Source organism: Homo sapiens, chromosome 11 (genome assembly GCF_000001405.40).
Source record: "Homo sapiens chromosome 11, GRCh38.p14 Primary Assembly".
Classification (NCBI taxonomy): domain Eukaryota; kingdom Metazoa; phylum Chordata; class Mammalia; order Primates; family Hominidae; genus Homo; species Homo sapiens.
The window spans coordinates 134,970,097-134,990,476 of record NC_000011.10 but is presented as its reverse complement, the minus strand read 5'-3'; the positions used below and the strand labels follow the sequence as shown (position 1 = coordinate 134,990,476).

General features: G+C 49.0%; 1 long non-coding RNA gene across 1 annotated transcript; it reads right to left on the bottom strand.

Moving 5' to 3' along the window:
• Positions 1 to 3,677: 3,677 nt before the first annotated feature.
• Positions 3,678 to 5,125, bottom strand: LOC100507548 (uncharacterized). Its single transcript, NR_135050.1, has one exon. It is a non-coding gene; the product is annotated as an uncharacterized LOC100507548 (long non-coding RNA).
• Positions 5,126 to 20,380: the final 15,255 nt, after the last annotated feature.

Here is a 20,380-nt window from a genome sequence, read left to right as displayed (position 1 = left end):
TTTGCCTAAACTCCAAAAAAAGAGGGGGTATAATGAGGCATGTCTGACCTGTCTTCCTTCATGGCCTGGAATTCAGTTTTTTCGGTTTCTTTGTAATTCCCTTGGCCCAGAGGGTGGACCCATTCATTCGGTCTGATGGAGGGCTTAGAGATTTTATTTTTGGTTTACACCTCAGACTCGATTCAAGTCAGCAAATACTTTTAGCACAAAGTATATGCCAGATATTGTTTAAAGTGGGATAAAGAACAGATGGTATGCCTGGCATGGTCCTGATCTGGAAGGACCTAACCTCTTCCTGCCTCTTCCTGGAACCTGTCTTTGCTTTTCAAATGCCTGCCAGTCTCTGCCTATCCTTTCCACTCTGTGTCCTGATTTCTTGTGTTCTCCTCTCACTTTCTCTTGTGTTCTCTGTCCTCTCTCTTCCTTTTGTTCTAAAATGGCATCAAAATCTTATAATAAAAATCTATCTCCCATGTTACTTGAATGACTCTCTACCAATCTCATTATGTTTGTTATAGATGAATATAATATGAGTGATTTTAAAAATATTATTTTATTAAATAAATTATGAAAAATACACAGCAAGGCCTGGGATTGACATGCTCATTTTCAGCCTCAATATTAAATCTCTAGACTGCACAAATGATTACACATTGAACTAAATGTATGGTTTTATCTTTTGTGCCTATAAAGAAAAGTCTTTCATATTATACAATTTGTACCACTTTCTCTTTTTTTTGCACATACACTTCTCCAGCTCCATTGCCAAACCTCAGCTGTCAATTCTGTTTAGTCCCGTTGATGAAAAGAACCAAATTCTAAAATATTTGAAGAGATTCTTTCTGAACCATATAGGAGTGACCATGGCCCATGACACAGCCCTCAGGAGATCTTGAGAACATGTGCTCAAGGTGGTAGGGGTGTGGCTTGGTTTTATGCATTTTAGGGAGACATGAGACTTCAATCACACACATTTAAGAAGTACATTGGTTTGGTCAAGGAAGGTGAAGTGTGGGGAGGGCGGGGGCGTGGGTGGTGGCGAGGGTCCAGGTTATAGGTAGATTTAAAAATTTTCTGACTGGCTATTGGTTAAGTTTATGTAAAGACCTGCGATCAATAGAAAGGAAATGTCTGAGTTAAGATAAGGAATTATGGAGGTCAAAGTTCTTATTATGAAGATGAAGGCTTCAGGTAGTAGGCTTTAGAGAGAATAGATTATAAGTGTTTCTTATCAGACTTATGGTCTGTGTCGATTTTAATGCTGGAGAGTATAATGAGGCAGGTCCAACCCCCACTCCCTGTCATGGCCTGAACCAGTCTCTCAGGTTAAATTTTAAGAGGGCCCTGGCCTAGGAAGAATTCTATTCAGATAACTGGGGAACCTTAGAGTTTTATTTTTGGTTTACATTCCACACTCAATTTTACTGAAAAAAAAAAAGAGACATCAAATGATAAGGTCATTGTATTGACACTGAATAGGTCTAATTTCTTTCATTGCTGGTTTGTTGTGCCTGTGGAATAAGAAAGTGGGTCTGAGATTGTGTTTGGCGGCGTTGGTGTCAGGCGCTGGGCAGTGATGTCCCACCTGGGCCTGGAGACACTGAGCATCCCAGGGAGAGGGAGTAGGAGAGGCTGAACAGAGGTCCTGAGCAGAAGATGGGCTGGCCTCTGTGCTGAGGCATGGACACGGCCTCCTCTGGGTCAGGCTTAGACAAAGATGCACTGAAATTAGCACAGCCCTTATGTGGGTCTTGGGAGGGCGAGGCTGTCTGATTGATGGGTCAGCATGTCCTGGATGTGTCTGTTTGGACAGAGAAGCCATTGTGTCCTGTCCACTGGCCTCCCAAGCGTCCTGGCAGGATTCTCATCCCTTCCAGATCTGGCTTCCTGCTACCTCACAGTTACTGAACCCCTTCGTTTTTTCCAAACTGACACTCTGCCAAACTCCCACACTCTCCCAGACCCATCATTTCATCTCTCTGTGTCTCTGGGCATTGAATTAAGAGCATTCAATGCTCTGTGTCTCTGGGTATGGTATGTGCATGATGCTTGCATACGTGTGTGCATGCGGGTATATGTGTAGTGCATGCATATGTGTACCTGCATGCACACGTGTATGAGTGCATCTGTGTGCCTATGTATGTGTGCACGTGCATGCACAGTGCATTCTGCACTGCCACCGCCTTTTATGTATTTTGACTGCACACAGAGACTGTCTCAAGGATGTTCCTTGTGTTACCTCAGGGAGCGCAGCCTGTGAAAGGCAGTGTGAGAAACTCCCCACTCTGTACGCACAGCTCCTTTCCTCCATCTTCAAACTTGCACTTAAGGAGTGAGATCTTGAAAATAAATTCTGTGCTTTGAAAGGTGAAACCAGAAAGAAAGGCAGTCAGTTGCTGTTGTCTTCCTCTGAAGCAGCTGGCAAAGCCTGGAACCTGAGCGCTTGAAGAGCCGGAGCGTGGGTAGGCTGCGGTGTTGCAAGGGAACGTTCCCAAACAGAGCCCAAAACACCACTGAACCTTCCCCTGTCCTTCTCCTGGGCCCAAGGCATGTCTCACAGCTTATGGACCTAAGAGTTGCAAACTTCTTCAGGCTGTCAAAAAGTCGACACTGTGAAATGACTGTCTGTGTTGGGGGCGTCTCCCATCCTTCATGTTCAATTTCCAGAAACAAAAGTATTTACTATGTGAGATTTTTGAGACTGCCAAAGGTACATCTAACAGCTTCTTCCGTCCTCCCTCCTCCACCTTCCTCCCTCTTTGCTTCCTTTCTTCCTTCCTTCCTTCCTTCCTTCCTTCCTTCCTTCCTTCCACAAACACATCCTGAGCCCTGCAGTCTGCTGGCCCAGCAATCCACATTTATGATGCTGGGGACAGGGTAGAGAAAGGAGAGGCAGTGCCTGCCCCCAAGGACTTTGCACCTGGGGCGGAGGGTGGGGAGGGACGTGAAACAAACATATAATTAGAAATGATAGTCCTTGCCTTGAAGAGGGTCACCAGGGCTGTGAGGGAGACTCACAGGCAATTCTCATCTAGGCTGTGGGGCAGGCGATAAGAAACAACCTCTCTGTGTGAGTAGCACTCCATTCTTTCATCAATCAACGCTCTTCCACCGTTTCCTGAAAGCCTACTGCTCTAGAGGCTGGAGAAACAGTAGGGATCAGAATAACTGAGGCTTCACATCTGCAAGGATGCTATTTTTCAGAGAACAGACACAGACGGTAAGCAAGACAGGGCCAGGCTGGGAGCCAGCAGCCCTGGGCTGAGATTCACGGGAGGCTAGCTGGAAAATCATGACGGGAAGGCATTCAGAGGACATGTTTTCTCCTCTTTGCACCCTTTCCACCACCAGTCCTGGGCTCCAGGCTGGCAGAAGAGAACTAGGACCCCGCTGGGTCCCCATTATGGGACTGAAGGACTGCAGAACCCAAGCTGTGCTGGTAGTAGACCAACTGAGGACCCTAAGTCCATGACCTGGGAACATACCGGTCATGAGCCTCCTGTCACTGTGCAAAGAGCTTACTCCCTACAGCGGGGACCTCCCATGACATAAGGTGAATACATCATTGTGCTTGCCTCTTTCAGCACTTTGGTCATGAGGAGTGTAAAGGAAAATGAAAAGAAATCTCAGAACCCCTAACTTCTAGAGACCGAGTCACAAAACACCACCAGCATTTTCCCAAAGAAACAAAGGTTACTTTACAAGCTGGGGTCCAAGCATTCCACACTCAACAAACTGTGGCAGGAGAACAGGGAGTTAGAGTAAACGGGGGTTCAGCATATGCAGCCAGTTCACATAAGCAAAAGAACAGCAGGTGCCGCCAGTTTGTATAAATAGGAGAGCAGTAGGGGCTGCATAGAGGCCACGTCCTCCCGCCCATGGTAACAAGCCACTCTGGCCTCTGATGGACTGCAAGCTGGGTCTCCACTGCAGCCTCTGATGGACTGCAAGCTGGGTCTCCACTCCAGCCTCTGATGGACTGCAAGCTGGGTCTCCACTGCAGCCTCTGATGGCCTGCAAGCTGGGTCTCCACTGCAGCCTCTGATGGACTGCAAGCTGGGTCTCCACTCCAGCCTCTGATGGACTGCAAGCTGGGTCTCCACTGCAGCCTCTGATGGACTGCAAGCTGGGTCTCCACTGCAGCCTCTGATGGACTGCAAGCTGGGTCTCCACTCCAGCCTCTGATGGACTGCAAGCTGGGTCTCCACTGCAGCCTCTGATGGCCTGCAAGCTGGGTCTCCACTGCAGCCTCTGATGGACTGCAAGCTGGGTCTCCACTCCAGCCTCTGATGGACTGCAAGCTGGGTCTCCACTGCAGCCTCTGATGGACTACAAGCTGGGTCTCCACTGCAGCCTCTGATGGACTGCAAGCTGGGTCTCCACTCCAGCCTCTGATGGACTGCAAGCTGGGTCTCCACTGCAGCCTCTGATGGCCTGCAAGCTGGGTCTCCACTGCAGCCTCTGATGGACTGCAAGCTGGGTCTCCACTGCAGCCTCTGATGGGCTGCAAGTTGGGTCTCCACTCCAGCCTCTGATGGGCTGCAAGCTGGGTCTCCACTGCAGCCTCTGATGGACTGCAAGCTGGGTCTCCACTGCAGCCTCTGATGGACTGCAAGCTGGGTCTCCACTGCAGCCTCTGATGGACTGCAAGCTGGGTCTCCACTGCAGCCTCTGATGGCCTGCAAGCTGGGTCTCCACTCCAGCCTCTGATGGACTGCAAGCTGGGTCTCCACTGCAGCCTCTGATGGGCTGCAAGTTGGGTCTCCACTCCAGCCTCTGATGGGCTGCAAGCTGGGTCTCCACTGCAGCCTCTGATGGACTGCAAGCTGGGTCTCCACTGCAGCCTCTGATGGACTGCAAGCTGGGTCTCCACTGCAGCCTCTGATGGACTGCAAGCTGGGTCTCCACTGCAGCCTCTGATGGACTGCAAGCTGGGTCTCCACTGCAGCCTCTGACGGGTCGCAGGCCAATCCTTCATGGGGTGTAGCCAATTGGAGGCCTCTAAAGGGCACGGAGGGGTGTTGCCAGGTTCCTCGAGCTTAGTAAAAACCCTAATTAAGGAGGCTCTTGACTGCTTGCTCGAGCCGGCTCCCGCTCTGTGAATTATCCTCAATAAATCTGTGCTTTTGTCGCTCCGTTCTTCTGTTGCTTTGTCTTTCATTGCTTCATTCTTTTGTTACTTTGTGTGTGCATTTTGTTCGGTTCTTGGGTCAACACTCCAAGAACATGGACACTTTATCTTGTAACAAAACCCCACAGAAAAGCAAAGACCTCTGGCGTCTCTGGGTGACTGCCCCCACAAACTGTTCTTTGCTGGCCTGGAACTGTTTCAAGATGTACATCCTCCCATCAAACAAGGACATGTCAATGGCAACTTCAGGTCTGCAATCCAAGCCCCTGCTCCTAAAACTAAAGTCTTTTCCATTCCGCACTGATGATGCTCATCTTCCCAGGTATGAAACTGACGAGATGACCCATTCTTCTGCCTTCACTGCTCTCCCTAGGCGTCTTCCCCGCTTAAGAGGAAATGCATGAACACCGAGCCTCAGTCACACACACAACCGTGGCTGGTGTTTCCTGGGTGTGCCCTCAGCTGTGGCTGAATAGAGCTCAGTTGATTGAGACTCTTGCCTCAGTCACTTATTTTGGATTAAACAAGAAAATAAATGCAAAGGTGTTTTAGAAAATTTAAAAACTGACTTTAGAAGCTAAGTATTCTTTTCCCACAGAACACAGTCTCAACAGAAGAAGGATGAAATGCTCCCACGCTTGCCGCCCTCGGCTCTTTTACAGGTCTCGAGTTGTTGCTGGCCTTCCTGATCACGTCTTCCACCCCCAACCCATATTCCCTTTCTCCTCTGCAGGCATCTTGGCTGGCCGTGGTCCTCAGTCCTCTACCTGGCAGGGGACACAAACTTTCATTCCGGAAGGGTCTGAGACATTCATAGTTCATCTGGACTGGCTAGTTGCAGTTTTCAACTGACCTCAGTTGCAGGACATGGCAGTACTAATAACAGACTGGACTTGGGGGATCTCTTCTTGAACCTTGAACCTCGCTGACCAGATGTTTAAAATATTTAGTGTTGTGTTGAACATGGGGAGTCAGGCTAAATGGCACCCATGAGGCATAAGCATATTGAAGATGACCGTAAGAGGGGGACAAGATGCTCACCTCCTGTTATTAGTCTTGGTGCGTGTGGGACCGGACAAAGCAGATTTAAACTGAAGCAAAATAAACTCAGATCAGACAAAAAAGGGAGTCTTAAAGAAGAGCAGATTGAGGCTCTGCAGGGTATAATAAAGACAGCTTTCAGTTTCCCCCCAGGAGAAGATCTACAACAGGAGACAGAGTGACCCCTTTAGAGGCAGGAGGAGAAATAAATGGCCACAGGCTGCCCTCATCTAGGCCAGGGTTCTGGCAGCAATGAGAACAGGTCTGCAGGAGGAGAAGTGCATTTGAACCCATCTTACTCATCGTCTGTCTCTTGGCTCTTCAAAGTGAATGCAGTTGGAAGGAAAGGGACAGGTTGGTTCTGTGCTTTGCCCAAGTAGGTCCAAATTCTGTTTTTTCAGGATGTAGCAGGGTGACAAACTTGATCTTAGCACAACAGGGGCAGTGAGGTCCTCATCCCCACCAGTCCTCTGCCCTAGGCTTACAGGACCTGCCCCCAGCGGGACAGGAGCTCATCCTACACTGTCCCAGTGTGTCTGTGGGACACCTTAGCTCCCTGACTGATTCCTCAGTGGCTCAGGGGCTCAGGGAGCCTCCTCACACCCGAGGTCCCTGTCCCCGGGTGTGGGGGATCCCTATGAATGACATTGTGGGTGATTGGGACTCCTCACAGAACAGGACCAGTAAAGGGCCTGCCTGGCTCTAGGCACTCACTCAGCTGCACTGGAATGTGGAGAAAGAGGCTGCAGAGCACACCCCTAGCCCTAATTAGGAAAGAAACAGAGTGGTCTTGAGTCAACTCCTGAAGGCTGTCTGTGCCCTGGATCGATGGCCCACAGGACATGCAGAACGGAGGCAGGAAGTCCCAGTGTAAATGGCAGACTTCAGTTTCGAGGACTTAGATTCCACTGGGAAGCAGCTGTCCAATTCACAAAATTGTCGGTGATCAAAATAAATATAATAAAGTAGTTCATTTTAAGCAATGCAAAGAAAGCTGAGTGGCAGATAAAGCTAAAGATGAGCTCCAGATGCCACCAGGCATTGCACGTGGAGGGACTGCATAGCACGCGTCCAGTGTAACTTACAACTCCTGGGACGCTGGGACTGTGCAGTGTTAATTCTAATGACTGTGCAGTGTTAATTCTAATGGCACATGGAGGCATAATTAATTAACCTTTCAGTTACTCTGGGTCCTGCCCTTATCCAAACATAAATATGTATATGCTGGGAAAATTTTGCAATATAGAAAGCCGACATTGTTGACTCCTTGTTCATAGGCAAAACCAGATTCACAGCTCCCTGCCTTTTTCTTCAAGCGGCTCCATGAGTCAACTTGGATGTGGTCTTCTCTCCTTGACGCACATCCTCCGATCTGACCAGTTGTCCAAGTGATGCTCCAGTGCTTTTCAATTTTGACTGTGCGGCAGAATCACCGATGGATTTTATTTTATTTTTAAAATAGGGGTACGTATGTCTCATCTCACCCAAGGTGAGGTCCGTGGATCTAATGTTACGAAGCCCACAGTGGGTCCCAAATCCCAGCTGAGCTCCAGGACTAGGAACGTCACCCACCCTCCCCGCTGCAGAGCGGCACCATGACTTTTGTTCTTCCTGTGGTGGAAACAGAGCTTGCCTAGAGATTCTAGACACAGCATCTCTCCGAAAACAAGCTGGGGCTCTGCCGCCCTCACTGGAGTACAGCCAGTGCTGTGGAGCCCCCAGAGTGGCCACAGAGATAGAGGGGACTTAAAACTGAGTAGGGGGCAACAGAGTTGGGGGTCTATCCACCACATGTGGACACACAGCAAGTCAGGCATGTGGGAAGGAGGGAACAGCAGCGCAGAATGGAAATGGCAAATGTTCATCCAGCCAGGTGTTATTTTATTGATGGCTTCTGGGGAAATGGGATGGACACGTTTAGAACAGCCTTGGGTTGAACTTGACGCTGCAAATGGAACTTAATTGCTCAAATAATGTCGTATCAATTTCATATAAATGATAAAGAAGGAAAGCCTCTCTTTCTAGAGAGAAAACTCTCCTGATGGCATCAGGCTGTCCCGGGGAGTCACTGCTTCCCTTTTTTGTTGCGGGGCATAGCGGGAGGTGAAGCTGGGAATTGACAATCTCTTTTTTCTGCTGGATTGAAACCTCCTGGAGCAGAAAAATAGTTTTTTATTTTGCAAATGAAAGTCAAAGATGTGGCAGGAGTTGGGGGTGAGCATTGCAAGAGCTAAATCCGGTGCTTCTGACAGCCCAGCCCTAGTGAGAGGGCCCCTTCTGAGAGTCCCAGGGACTCTTACGTAAATGAAACTCAAATAAAGCTCCCCACAGCACCTGAGCTTAGGGGCACCAGGCTCTGGGACTCTGTAGGTGCTCCCAGGAGATTCCATCCCCAGGATAACACTGCAGGTGAATTTGTACTTTTCCTACCATGCAAACCATACTCTGATTGGTAACTGTTCAGGATTCTAAGAAATAAATTTATTGAACCAAAGTATTGTATAACTTATTTTGCTTTAAGTTATATATTTTTCCTTGTCATTAGTAACCAAAGAATAATTATTCTGCCATTTTTAATTACAGTATATGCATATAGAAAGTATTTCTTTTTTGTTAGAGAATGTGTGCTACATACCTTTAGGCTCTACCTTCCAATCCGAATGGAAGGCTGGCATGCTCCCTCTTCACCTGGTAATAGCCCTTGGTGTACAGATTTGGTGTCTAGGAGAACATCCCAAGTCTCTGGCATGTGGCGTCACCACGCTGGGGAGTGGCAGTGGCTCTCCTGTGTGGAGCACTCTGTGCAGGCTGTGCCGCTCCCAGGCAGGGCAGGCATGCTGCATTCAGAGCCTGTAAGACCCTCTCCCAGGGCTGGTCGGAAAGCAGCTGGTTCTGATGAGGAGGCTGTAAGGCTTCCAATCTTGGGGACCCCTTGTGTCTGGAAAGAGGGATCTGGGAGTCCTAGAAAAATCTCCCAGGGCAGGTCTCCATTCCAGAGAGTAAAAGCTGCAGCCTCGAGCGTCTCTTCTCCTCCCAGCTGTCCCCGTTCAGGTCAGGGACCAGGGCAGGCTTTGTCACCAGGGAGGTGGGTACCGGGTGGTCCCGGCCAAGTGGCCAGGCTCCAGTCTGGGGAAGCCTTTGAGCTGTCTCTGCAGGGCTTGAGAGGTGGGGAGGAGGGAGAGGGACAGGCTAGAAGCCCAGGACAAGGAAGTGAGGTCAGGCCTGAGTGCAGACACTGGGCAGCCAAGGTCCAGAGACGCTGAGGTCTGCTCTGGCCACAAATGAGCCCAGACTCCAGCTTCTGACCCTCCCCATGACTCTGTCCCCACACACGGGGGCCTCTCATGGGCCACGGCCTATGGCCCACAAAGTACAAGCTCCTTACCCTGCCCCTTGCCCAGCCTGGGACCTCCCATGTTCTAGGAGGATGAGGAAGTCCTGGGAACCATTTCTCTATTTCTCTTCCTCTCTGACCTGTGAATCTCTTCTTCTTACTTCCAAAAGGCCAGGGCAGAAGTCAGAATGGCTGCTTGGTCCACGGAAGCCTGAAGCCTGGTGCCTAAAGTGAATATGGTCTTGGCAAGATCAGAACTGCTGAGAGCCAAGGTTTCCTTATTGACTAAATTAAATCACAATCCTCCCCCGGCTAACCTAGAACTCTGGGAATCAAATATACCAATAAAATGTCTGTAAAAGCACTGTTTGAATTTGCATTTGCACCACTGCTCTTAGTAGAGGAAGCGGCAGCCTGAGGCTGATGTGAGCACTGGGCTGGGAGTCAGCGGTTCTAAGTGTGAGCACTGGGCTGGGAGTCAGCGGTTCTAAGTGTGAGCCCCAGCTCTGCAACCTACCAACCTATTTGGGACTCTCCACTTCTCATCTGAAAATGCATAGGCCAGAAATAGCTGCTGCCCTGTCTGCTGTTATCATCTCAGTCAGTGAACAAGTGTGTGGGGATCATCAGTCTGTACCAGGTACCCCTGTAGACATGGGACTGGCATTGTGCGTTCAGACATGGGCCCTGACTGCACGTCTCACATCCCAGTGGCGAGGAGACAGACAGCAAACAGGTAGGTAATTAAATAAATACGATCATTTAATCTTCTTTATGTGTGTGGTGATGCTGGTGTAAACAGACATACCGCTCTGCCAGGCCTATAAAAGTCTAGCACACACAATTATGTTCTGTACATAATAAGTGATAATGATATTAAAAGGTTTACTGATTTACATATTTAGTATACTATACTTGTTATGGTTTTAGAGTGTGGGCTCCTTCTACTTATAAAAATAAGTTAACTGTAAAATGGCCTCAGGCAGGTCCTTCAGGAGGAATTCTGGAAGAAGGCTATCACAGGAGATGACAGCTCCTGCATGTTATCGCCCCTGAAGACCTTCCAGTGGGACAGGATGTGGAGGTGGAAGACAGTGATAGTGACAGTCCTGACCCTCTGCAGGCCTTGGCTAATGTGTGTGTCTGTGTCTTAGATTTTTTTTTTTTTTTACCGAGACAGAGTCTTGCTCTGTCGCCCAGGCTGGAGTGCAATGGTACCATCTTGGCTCACTGCAACCTCTGCCTCTCGGGTTCAAGCAATTCTCCTGCCTCAGCCTCCCGAGTAGCTGGAATTACAGGTGCCTGCCACCACATCCGGCTAATTTTTGTATTTTTAGTGGAGACGAGGTTTCATCCTGTTGGCCAGACTGGTCTCAAGCTCCTGGCCTCAAGTGATCCGCCCTCCTTGGCCTCCCAAAGTGCTGGGATTACAGCATGAGCCACTGTGCCCAGCCTGTGTCTTAGTTTTTAACTGCAAAGTTTAAAATGTTAAAAAAAAATTTGAAAACAGAAAAAATCTTATAGAATAAGGATACAAAGAGGAAATATTTTTTACAGCTGGACAATGTGTTTGTATTCTAAGCTGAGTCATTACAAAAGAGTCAAAAAGTTAAAAGCATACAAATTTATAAAGTAAAAAGTTACAGGAAGCTAATTTTCTTTCTGAAGTTCAGTCCGGGCGTGCAGCGGGCTCCGCCATCCGGCCCGGGCGTGCAGCGGGCTGTGCCATCCAGGTGTGTGTGGGTGTCTCTGCGGTGTTCACACAATGGCAAAATCACCTAATGACACTTTCTCAGAACAGAGCACTGTTGTTAAGGGATGCGTGGCTATAAGAATGTCGCGTTCAGGGAGAAATTGGGGCTGAGGACACAGATGTGGCAGCCATCGTGAATTTGGTCATTCAAGTTGTGGCACCTAAGGGACACACCCAGATAGCAGGAGCGAGGAGAGGTCAAGATCCAGCTCTAGACAGCCCACGGGAGGAGGACTGGCTGAGAAGGGGGAGCTGACACAAGACAAGGAGAGGGAGGTGGCGCAGGTGAAAGGAGCCGGGGCAGAGTGTTGCATGGTGCCCCCTGCTGTTAGGGTGCAACGAGATACAAAATATAATCCTTTCGGTAAGTTTTACAGCACTGTTTAACTGCTAGTCACAGTGGGCCCCTGGGTGTGGGCGGAGGGAACAGCTGACCACAGCAATGAAGAAGAGATGACAAGAAGCTACCGGGGCCACTGGTTCCTCGGCTCCCTGGTCCTGGAGGAGGCTGGGCTAGACTTGGGAGGAGGGGAGGAGGTGTCTCCTGCTGCCACCAGGACCATGGCTGCCCTCCCTCACTTGCCGTGGGCCTCCCTCCCTCTGCCCTTCCCTCCCTCGCCACCTGGGGGTACTCAGTCACTTACTTCCACACTCGTTCTTTAATGTCCATGAGCAAACCCGGAGATGAGGGCGGCTATACTCAGGACAGGATCAGGGTCCATGATGTTGGGTGTTTACAGTGTCTCCCAAACACATCGTGACAGAGGACCAGGAACCTCCAGAGAGGGCCCTTCCCAGCCGCACGGCAGCAGCGCAAGTGCACGCGGGGCCCAGGATGCTTCAGAGCTGAAGGAACACCTGGGAAGGGCCCCATCAGTGGCAGGGTGTGGGGGGGTTCGTCCAGGACTTCGTGCATGTGTCACTGCAGTTATGTCATTAGAGATTTGTTTTGCTTGGGGATTTTCATGGAGTGTTTTGTTTTTATCTGAGTTACAAACACAGTCAGGTAGATACACACGTGCCCAGCCTGTGATATTTTTGCCAAGAAGTAAGACCTATTAAAAAGCATATTTTTATGGATTCAATCCCTTAGGCCAAGAGCAGAGACATGGAGTTATGCAGAGGTGGGGGTGACAGGGCAGGAGGGTGTTTCAGGGGAAGCATGAAGCTGTCTCCTCCCTTTCTTCTGGGCCACCTCCTGGGTGAGCTGGAGCAGCTGGCCAGGCTCAGATTGCTCCTCCAGGCAGCGGAAGGGGCCCCTGCCCAAAAGGTGAGAGATGCCAGATGGCCTGGGGCACAGCAGGCTTGGCTAAGTCGGCCCCCAGAGCACGGAAAGGCTCTCTGAGAGCTCGGATCCCACCTGCTTTGTCAGAGTGAGTATTTCCTTTCTAGAGGCCAGGAATGGAGACGCATCAGCCTCAGCGGAGTGAGCAGGGCTCAAACAGGACACCACTAGGGCCATTGGGCTTCCTCCATGGCACTGACTTCTTAGGCAGCTCCCCACCTTCTCAGGAGAAACCATCTCCCCTCAACGGCAGGGTGAGCAGCACCTATCTTTTCAGGGGGAGGCGAGTATTCTTCACGTACAGAGGAATAGGTTTGAGCACGCTGGGAAAACCAGGGTCACACAGCATGGAAATGCCTCTGTCGAAGGAGGAGAACAGGAGGCCCAGGTGGGACTGAGGGGCCACTCACACCCAGGAACCACCTCCAGCTCCCAGCCTGGGGTGCCTGATGGTGCCACAGCTTCGGGCGCCACGTTTGGTTAGAGGCTGCTGTGGTCATGAATGTCCCTTCTCCAAGGGTTTTGGGTCTGAGGACCCAGTGAGCCTCTCCCCTCTCCAGTGTACTCACAGGAGGCTGAATTCCCTGGGGTCCTGGGGTCAGGAGCACCCACCTAGAGCCACAGAAGACCCAGGATGAGCCACTCCAGAACATCCCTGGTTTTGTTTTTACCAAAACCCAGGAAGAGGTTGTGATTTCAAGCATGAGGTTTAGAGACAGGAAGAAAACTAATATCCTTGGGTACCTACTCCACAGCGGCCTCCTGAAACTTCTTTAACCCTCCGCCAATGGCAGCACCCATTTTGCAAAGGTGGAAACTAAGATTTAGACCAGGGCTGTCCAATAGCACTTGCTGTGGAGCTGGGTCAATACAGCGGCCACCAGCCACAGGACACTATTGAGCAGTGTGGCAAGTGCACCAGGAAATGGGATTTTAAATTGTATTGCCTTTTATTTGAATTAAGTGTAAATGCAATAGCTGCCTGTGGCTAGTGGCTGCTACACTGGACGGTGCAGACCTAGGGAATAAATGACTGTCCAGGACCACACAGCTACTAAGGAGCTGGACTGGAGTCACGCGCTAACCCTTTAATTTTCCTGAGGCTCCTCTCCTTGCCCCACCCTGTGGCTGCCATGTGAGCAGTGACCACAGAAAGTGAGAAGCCAGTGATCAGGGAGGGACCTTCCCATTGGAGCTGTTTCCTCCTGAGTCAGCCCCAGGATTCGGGCTCCCACTTCAGGCCACTCCTGCACCCCGGGACTTTCACTCTGAGAAATCCTTTACCGTGGAAGCAGGTGACATTTTTGTGAGACACTTTTGTGATGTTTGTGATTGAAGTCTCTGTGAAGTTCTAGCCTGGGTGGAGGGAGGGTGCCCGGGCCAGGGATGGGAGAGAGGCTGTAAAAGATGAAGCAATCATTGAAAATCTGAGACTTCATCAGAAACTTTCCATTCAGCTCGGATCTTTGCTGAGACTGACCTTCCAACTGGATTTAACTCCTGCATTTTTTGCCACCAGGTTTCCAGCTGCAGAGATCTGATACCCACTCAGTATTTATCACTCTTTGGTTGTACGAGATAGAAGCTTCGCAATTCACAATGAGCCTCGGGTTTCGCCTGATACCATCTCCAAATCTTTGCTAGAGGGTTTCTTGTGGCCCTGAGGCCCTTGTCCTGCTCACATTTTCAGGGGACACTGAGTGTTCTCACAACGCAGAGATGGCCTGACCCAGAAAAATGGTGTCAGCCCTGGGTCAAGCCCTGCCCCACTGGGCCACATTTCCCTCATGTGCGATCACAGTGGTAATAAAACACCAACAGTCATCACTTCTGAGGGTTTGCTCTACACCAAACAGACACTATGCGCCTATTTATTATTTTATTACATTATTACCTTATTTCCTTATCAACACATTGGTGCTACTCCTGCAGGAAAGCACAGTGACTAGCCCAGATCACCAGCTGGTAAGTGGAGGGCCTGGAGTCAAACTCCAATCTGCTCCGCTCCCCTGAATATTCTCGGATTTACTGTGTTCCACAGCTTCAGGGATGATGAGAGTGTTACCTACACCAAGAGGTGTCAACAAGTGAGGGTGAACATGTCAAATGGACCAACCACTGAGCCTGTAGTCATATGTCTAAAAGAGAGGGAGATTTGGAGCTATGGACTGTCCTTTCTCCCTGCACCGTGGACTGTTCTTTCTCTCTGCACCGTGGACTGTTCTTTCTCCCTGCACCATGGACTGTTCTTTCTCTCTGCACCGTGGACTGTTCTTTCCCCCTTCACCGTGGACTGTTCTTTCTCCCTGCACCGTGGACTGTTCTTTCTCTCTGCACCGTGGACTGTTCTTTCCCCCTTCACCGTGGACTGTTCTTTCTCCCTGCACTGTGGACTGTTCTTTCTCCCTGCACCGTGGACTGTTCTTTCCCCCTGCAGCGTGGACTGTTCTTTCTCTCTGCACCGTGGACTGTTCTTTCTCCCTGCACCGTGGACTGTTCTTTCTCCCTGCACCGTGGACCGTTCTTTCCCTCTGCACCGTGGACCGTTCTTTCCCTCTGCACCGTGGACTGTTCTTTCTCCCTGCACCGTGGACTGTTCTTTCCCCCTGCAGCGTGGACTGTTCTTTCTCTCTGCACCGTGGACTGTTCTTTCTCTCTGCACCGTGGACTGTTCTTTCTCCCTGCACCGTGGACTGTTCTTTCTCCCTGCACCGTGGACTGTTCTTTCTCCCTGCACCGTGGACTGTTCTTTCTCCCTGCACCGTGGACTGTTCTTTCCCCCTGCACCGTGGACTGTTCTTTCTCCCTGCACCGTGGACTGTTCTTTCTCCCTGCACCGTGGACTGTTCTTTCTCCCTGCACCGTGGACTGTTCTTTCCCCCTTCACTGTGGACTGTTCTTTCCCCCTTCACCGTGGACTGTTCTTTCTCTCTGCACCGTGGACTGTTCTTTCCCCCTGCACCGTGGACTGTTCTTTCCCCCTGCACCGTGGACCGTTCTTTCCCCCTGCACCGTGGACCGTTCTTTCTCCCTGCACCGTGGACTGTTCTTTCTCCCTGCACCATGGACTGTTCTTTCTCCCTGCACCTTGGACTGTTCTTTCTCTCTGCACCGTGGACTGTTCTTTCTCCCTGCACCATCCTTTTCTGGATTTCACTTACTCCAGCCAAGCCGGTGGCCCTGGGGGTGGCTGGTGGTGAGCTCGACCTGCCACTTGTCCCCTGTCCACATAGGTCACATGGACTCCCACCATCCCCACATTAAAATCTGCCCGGCTTACTGACATTTTAACTGCTTCAGCTTTCACTGACATCATTTTCTTCTTCTTTACATTTTCTAAATTACTGCATTACCAAGACACAGAGGCTTAAAATCAGAAAGTTTTAAAGTAAAACGTAGAAGACAAAACCAAAAATCAAACAAAAGACAAATTGTGATCCAGTGGAACTGCCGAGTGGGGATGGCCAGTGGGAGGCTTCTCTGGCACTTGGCAGGGCAGCTGACATTTGTCCAAGGCTTAGCTTGAATTTCAAATTTCATCCTGGCCTTTGGGGTCCTGGCAGGTTTAGCAAACCTGGCATTATTGTCATAGCCGCTCATGATTCAGATGATGTCAGAGTGTTCTGGCTGGACCAGTGGAGAGGTTCACATCTGCAAATAGGACTGGAAGGGGCGGCAAGAGTCAGAGGCAGACAGTCTAGCATCTCAGCTCTGCTACCACTTCGTGATGGGGAGGCCAAGTTACGCAAAGCATTCCAGCTCAGTCAATATCTGGAGATGGGTCCTTTGTGGAATCTTCTTCATCAGAGAGTGACTAATACCATCTATGATGAAGCCCTCCTCCAGCTTTGCCTGGCCAGGTAGGCTCCTTTCCCTTCTCCTGCAACGTGTGGTGCATCCCGCATGCTGCTGTACCATGGTTGGGGGTGTTCAAGTGTGGGTTTGCCTCATGAGACTATGAGCCCACCGAGGACGGGGACCTTTGTGTTCCCAGCTATTAGCATGTTGATAACTTATATTCCCAGCCCTTAGTATGTTGCTGACTTATATGAGGTCCCTTTATAGATGTTGACCAGCTTGAATTATACTGAATGAAACAGACACAACTCAGGGAGGTGTAGGTAGCCCCTCCAGTTCTAGGGATGGGCACCAAACTCCCATCCTGGCTCCCAGCAGCTGGGAACCTGTGGATTGGTTTCTGCTGTGATCTGCGACTGTGCAAGTGGCAGGTGTCATTTTGGAGGCCTTGACCTCCTGTGAGGGGAGATGCCCAAGAACCTCTTGTAGCCAATTTTGGTCCTGTTTTGGGAGCCTCCCTCATTTCTTTCCCAGGTAGCTAAAGGGCAGCCTCCTGGCACTTGTTTTTGCCTTCCTCACCCCTCCTGATAGGGTTTCCTTCTCACTTAACCATCAAGAAGAGGTACAAAGAACCAGTGAGGGAGCACCTCAGGTACTTCTCAGGCAGGGAGCACAGTCTCATTGCTGCTGAGCAGGTTAAGAAATTGTCCAGGTTGTGCATCGATTGCTAGCTAAAGAAAGACCTTCCGAAGGCCCTGGGATGCCCCATTTGATGCTCTTTTAGCCTCATCTGTTCTGATTTGGGCTTTGGAAATATATCTTCAGCTTGCACTGAGAAATTGTCAAAAAGTACACCATTTGTCTATCTATTTCCTCATGTAGTTGTAGCTGAGAACACATAATGTCTTCAGTAAAGGTGGTCCATGGAGAAATCTCTCTGATCAGCATCCTAGGAGCAGCTGTGCCCCTCCACAGCAAAACAAACAAATAATAACCTCATAGCCAATTTGGAGCTCACTAATAATAACTCTCAGGTCCCCAAACGGCAACACCACAGAGGCTGGAACCATGCAGTTTTGCATACGAACGTCTCTCCTGACCTCCCCCTATCTTTCACCCATTTTTTTCTTTTTTCTTTTGTTCCTTGACCCACTTATTTTACATTTTACTTCATCTTGCTTGGTTCTATATATCTTTTTGAGGTGCCTTAATGTTTTTCTTGACCTGCTTTGAGTACAGATCCATAAATGCTTAAATAATAGATTATTGTGCCCTGGCAGAGTTGTCATAAATCCTTCCTTCATCCTGGGCTTAATCTCTACGGCTGGGGAAAAGGGAAATCACATATACATGCAGACAGCTGTGCTTGGTGCTTTTCTTACTTAGTCCTCACAGCAACCCCACAAAGTTATTTTCTCTCAGTTACAGATGAGAGAATTGGGGCTGAGAGAAGTTAAGTGGAGGTCATGTGGTCTCTGCTCAAGAAACTTTTTCATTATACAAAGCGTGGCTTTGCCACATATCAGCTTGGGGACTTTACGTGAGAATTAACCTCCCTAAGTCTCAGTTTCCTCACACATAAAATACAGATGAAAATACTTTAGAGGGCTATTATAAGCAGTATGTTTCATGAATATATAAAAGTTATATTGGTGCTTGAAACATGAGAATCAACAAGTGCCAGGTCCAGCCCTCCTCAGTTACATACAACCTGTCATCCTGAGTGATGTGGTCCAGGCTGAACCACCCAGCCTGATCCTGTGCTCTGTCCTATACCACCCGGCCTTTCCACAATGCCAGCAGCCACTCAGCAGGCACATAAACGTCCACATGCATGCTGCATTGAGAAATCTGTGTGCTTTGGGCATAGGTGACTTGCTGAGCAGCAGGAGATAGAAAAGTATTGCTGGACCCAAATTTGAACAGAGGAATGCACAATTTAAGATTTCCAATGTTAGTGCCCAGATTATATACCAGAAGAGCTCTGCTATGTGAAAAGCAAGAAACGTATTGCATCTTCTGGGTCAGTTTCTCAACCCAAGAGGGAAGTGACCTTCCTGAAGCCACAGGGCCAGAGCGGGCCGAGGTGTTTCCGTGCTCCATGTGGTTGGCACGTCTGTGGCTGACAAGGCAGCTTTCTCAATGGAGATGGACCCACAGGGGCAGTTGGGACCTCTCTTCTAGGCAGTCCACAGACAAGGGCATCAGTCTAGAGACAAAGGAATAAGAAAAGACCTTGCCAATCCCTCAGGGAGAGGTCTTTCAGAAGGGCAGTGTGCCGAAGGCCGGGAAACAGAGGCTTCTCTGCAAAGCTTAGGAACATGATTTCAGGGTAAATTTCCTCGCATGATTGTATTTTATTGCGGAGTCGTTAGGATAATATTGCTATTCTTTCCACACCAGTGGCGTCTCTGCCTGATTTTCATGTTCTGCTAATTCTTTGTTTTTGTGCTGAGAGCAGGTTATTTTTGTAAGGCAAAGGTTAAGAGAGATGGACACAGAGCCATTTGCCAAGGTCAGGCTGAAACCATCAGCTTCTTCCTCCCCATCGGTCAGGGCCATCTCCAGGCAGGAGTCTCCCGGAGAGGCAGAGATGTAAGCCCCATCTCTCAGACACCTTGGGACTGAGATTCACACACTAGCGCCGTGTGATGAAGTGGAAGCTCTTGTACCCTACGTGCCTCTAAGTTTAAAACTGTGGACAGGTGCAGAATGCTTGTGAGCACATGGTTTATGTGGAGTAAGCATCTTGGTCAGTCCTCGAGCTTTATAGAGGCCTTCAGCTGAGGAGCCATGTGTTTTCACAGAGGTTTAACAGAGAGAGAATGGCTTCATCTATGAAAAAAAAAAAGGCATGGCTCTGGTGTCAGGAGTTAGAACTTGGTTTGGATCCCGTTCCTGTCACTTACCCATCGAATCACCTTGGAGGAGTGGCTTTAAGATTCCTGATCCTTCGTTTTCTCGCCTATAACGAGAGGTAATGATTCTGCCCTGTCTGCTGATAGCACTGTTGTAAAGATGAAATGAGCTATTGCAGATGAAAACAGTTTTCACAATCTAAAGTGGAGTACAGACATCAGCTGGAAAGCACAGTCACTAAGAGCGAAGATTTTGGAGTTTACCTGTTTGAGGCCCAGATCTTCCACTGATAGCTGTGTGATCTTGAGTGCTTTGATTAACATCCCCAACTATAAACTTTTGCTAAGCAGAATTCCTTCAAAAATGTGTTATAATATTTACATGCGTTAATATATGCAAAGTACTTATGTTAGCATCTGGCACATAGTAAATAATATTTACTGTTTGTTGCTCTTGATGTTGCTGTTACTGGTTGTGTTATTAGGACTTGTGGTTTGTTATGATTGTTTATGTCATTAGAGACTTTACTGGAGTAATTCACAGTGCCGCGATCTCTGGTTACAACTCATGCTTCCAGAAGCCAATCTAAGTGTAGGATTCGATGTTGATCCTTCCTGTTGTATTAACAGAATCATAAGGCATTTGAACTGGGCAGACTCTACTTTCCAGCACACTCTATGTTAAGCTGCAGCCCTGCACCATTTACATACCCCCCTGCAATGTGGGAGGGTTTCAATTTCTCAGCATCTTTGCCAATGCTTATTGTTCATTTTTTTAAAAAATATCCATTGTGATGGGTATGAGTGGCATGTGACTATGGTCTTGACTTGCCTTCCCCTGGTGGCTCATGGGGCAGAGCATCTCTTCATGGGCTTCTTGGCCATTGATAAAGTTCCGGGAGAGATGCCTATTTAAATTCTTTGTTCACCTTAATTGGAATATTTTCCCTTTCGTGTTTGAGCTGTAAGACGTCTTTATTCTTTATACTAGACCCTGGTCAGATTACAGTTTGCAAATATTTTTCCCATTCTGTGGGTCAGTGTTTTTACTTTCTTCATAATATCTCAGTCTCATTTGTTGAAAAGATGATTATTCCTTATTGAATGGGCTTCGCATCCTTGTTAAAATCAGCTGAACACATGTGTGTGGATATTTTTCTGGAGCGTCAGTTCTGTTCCG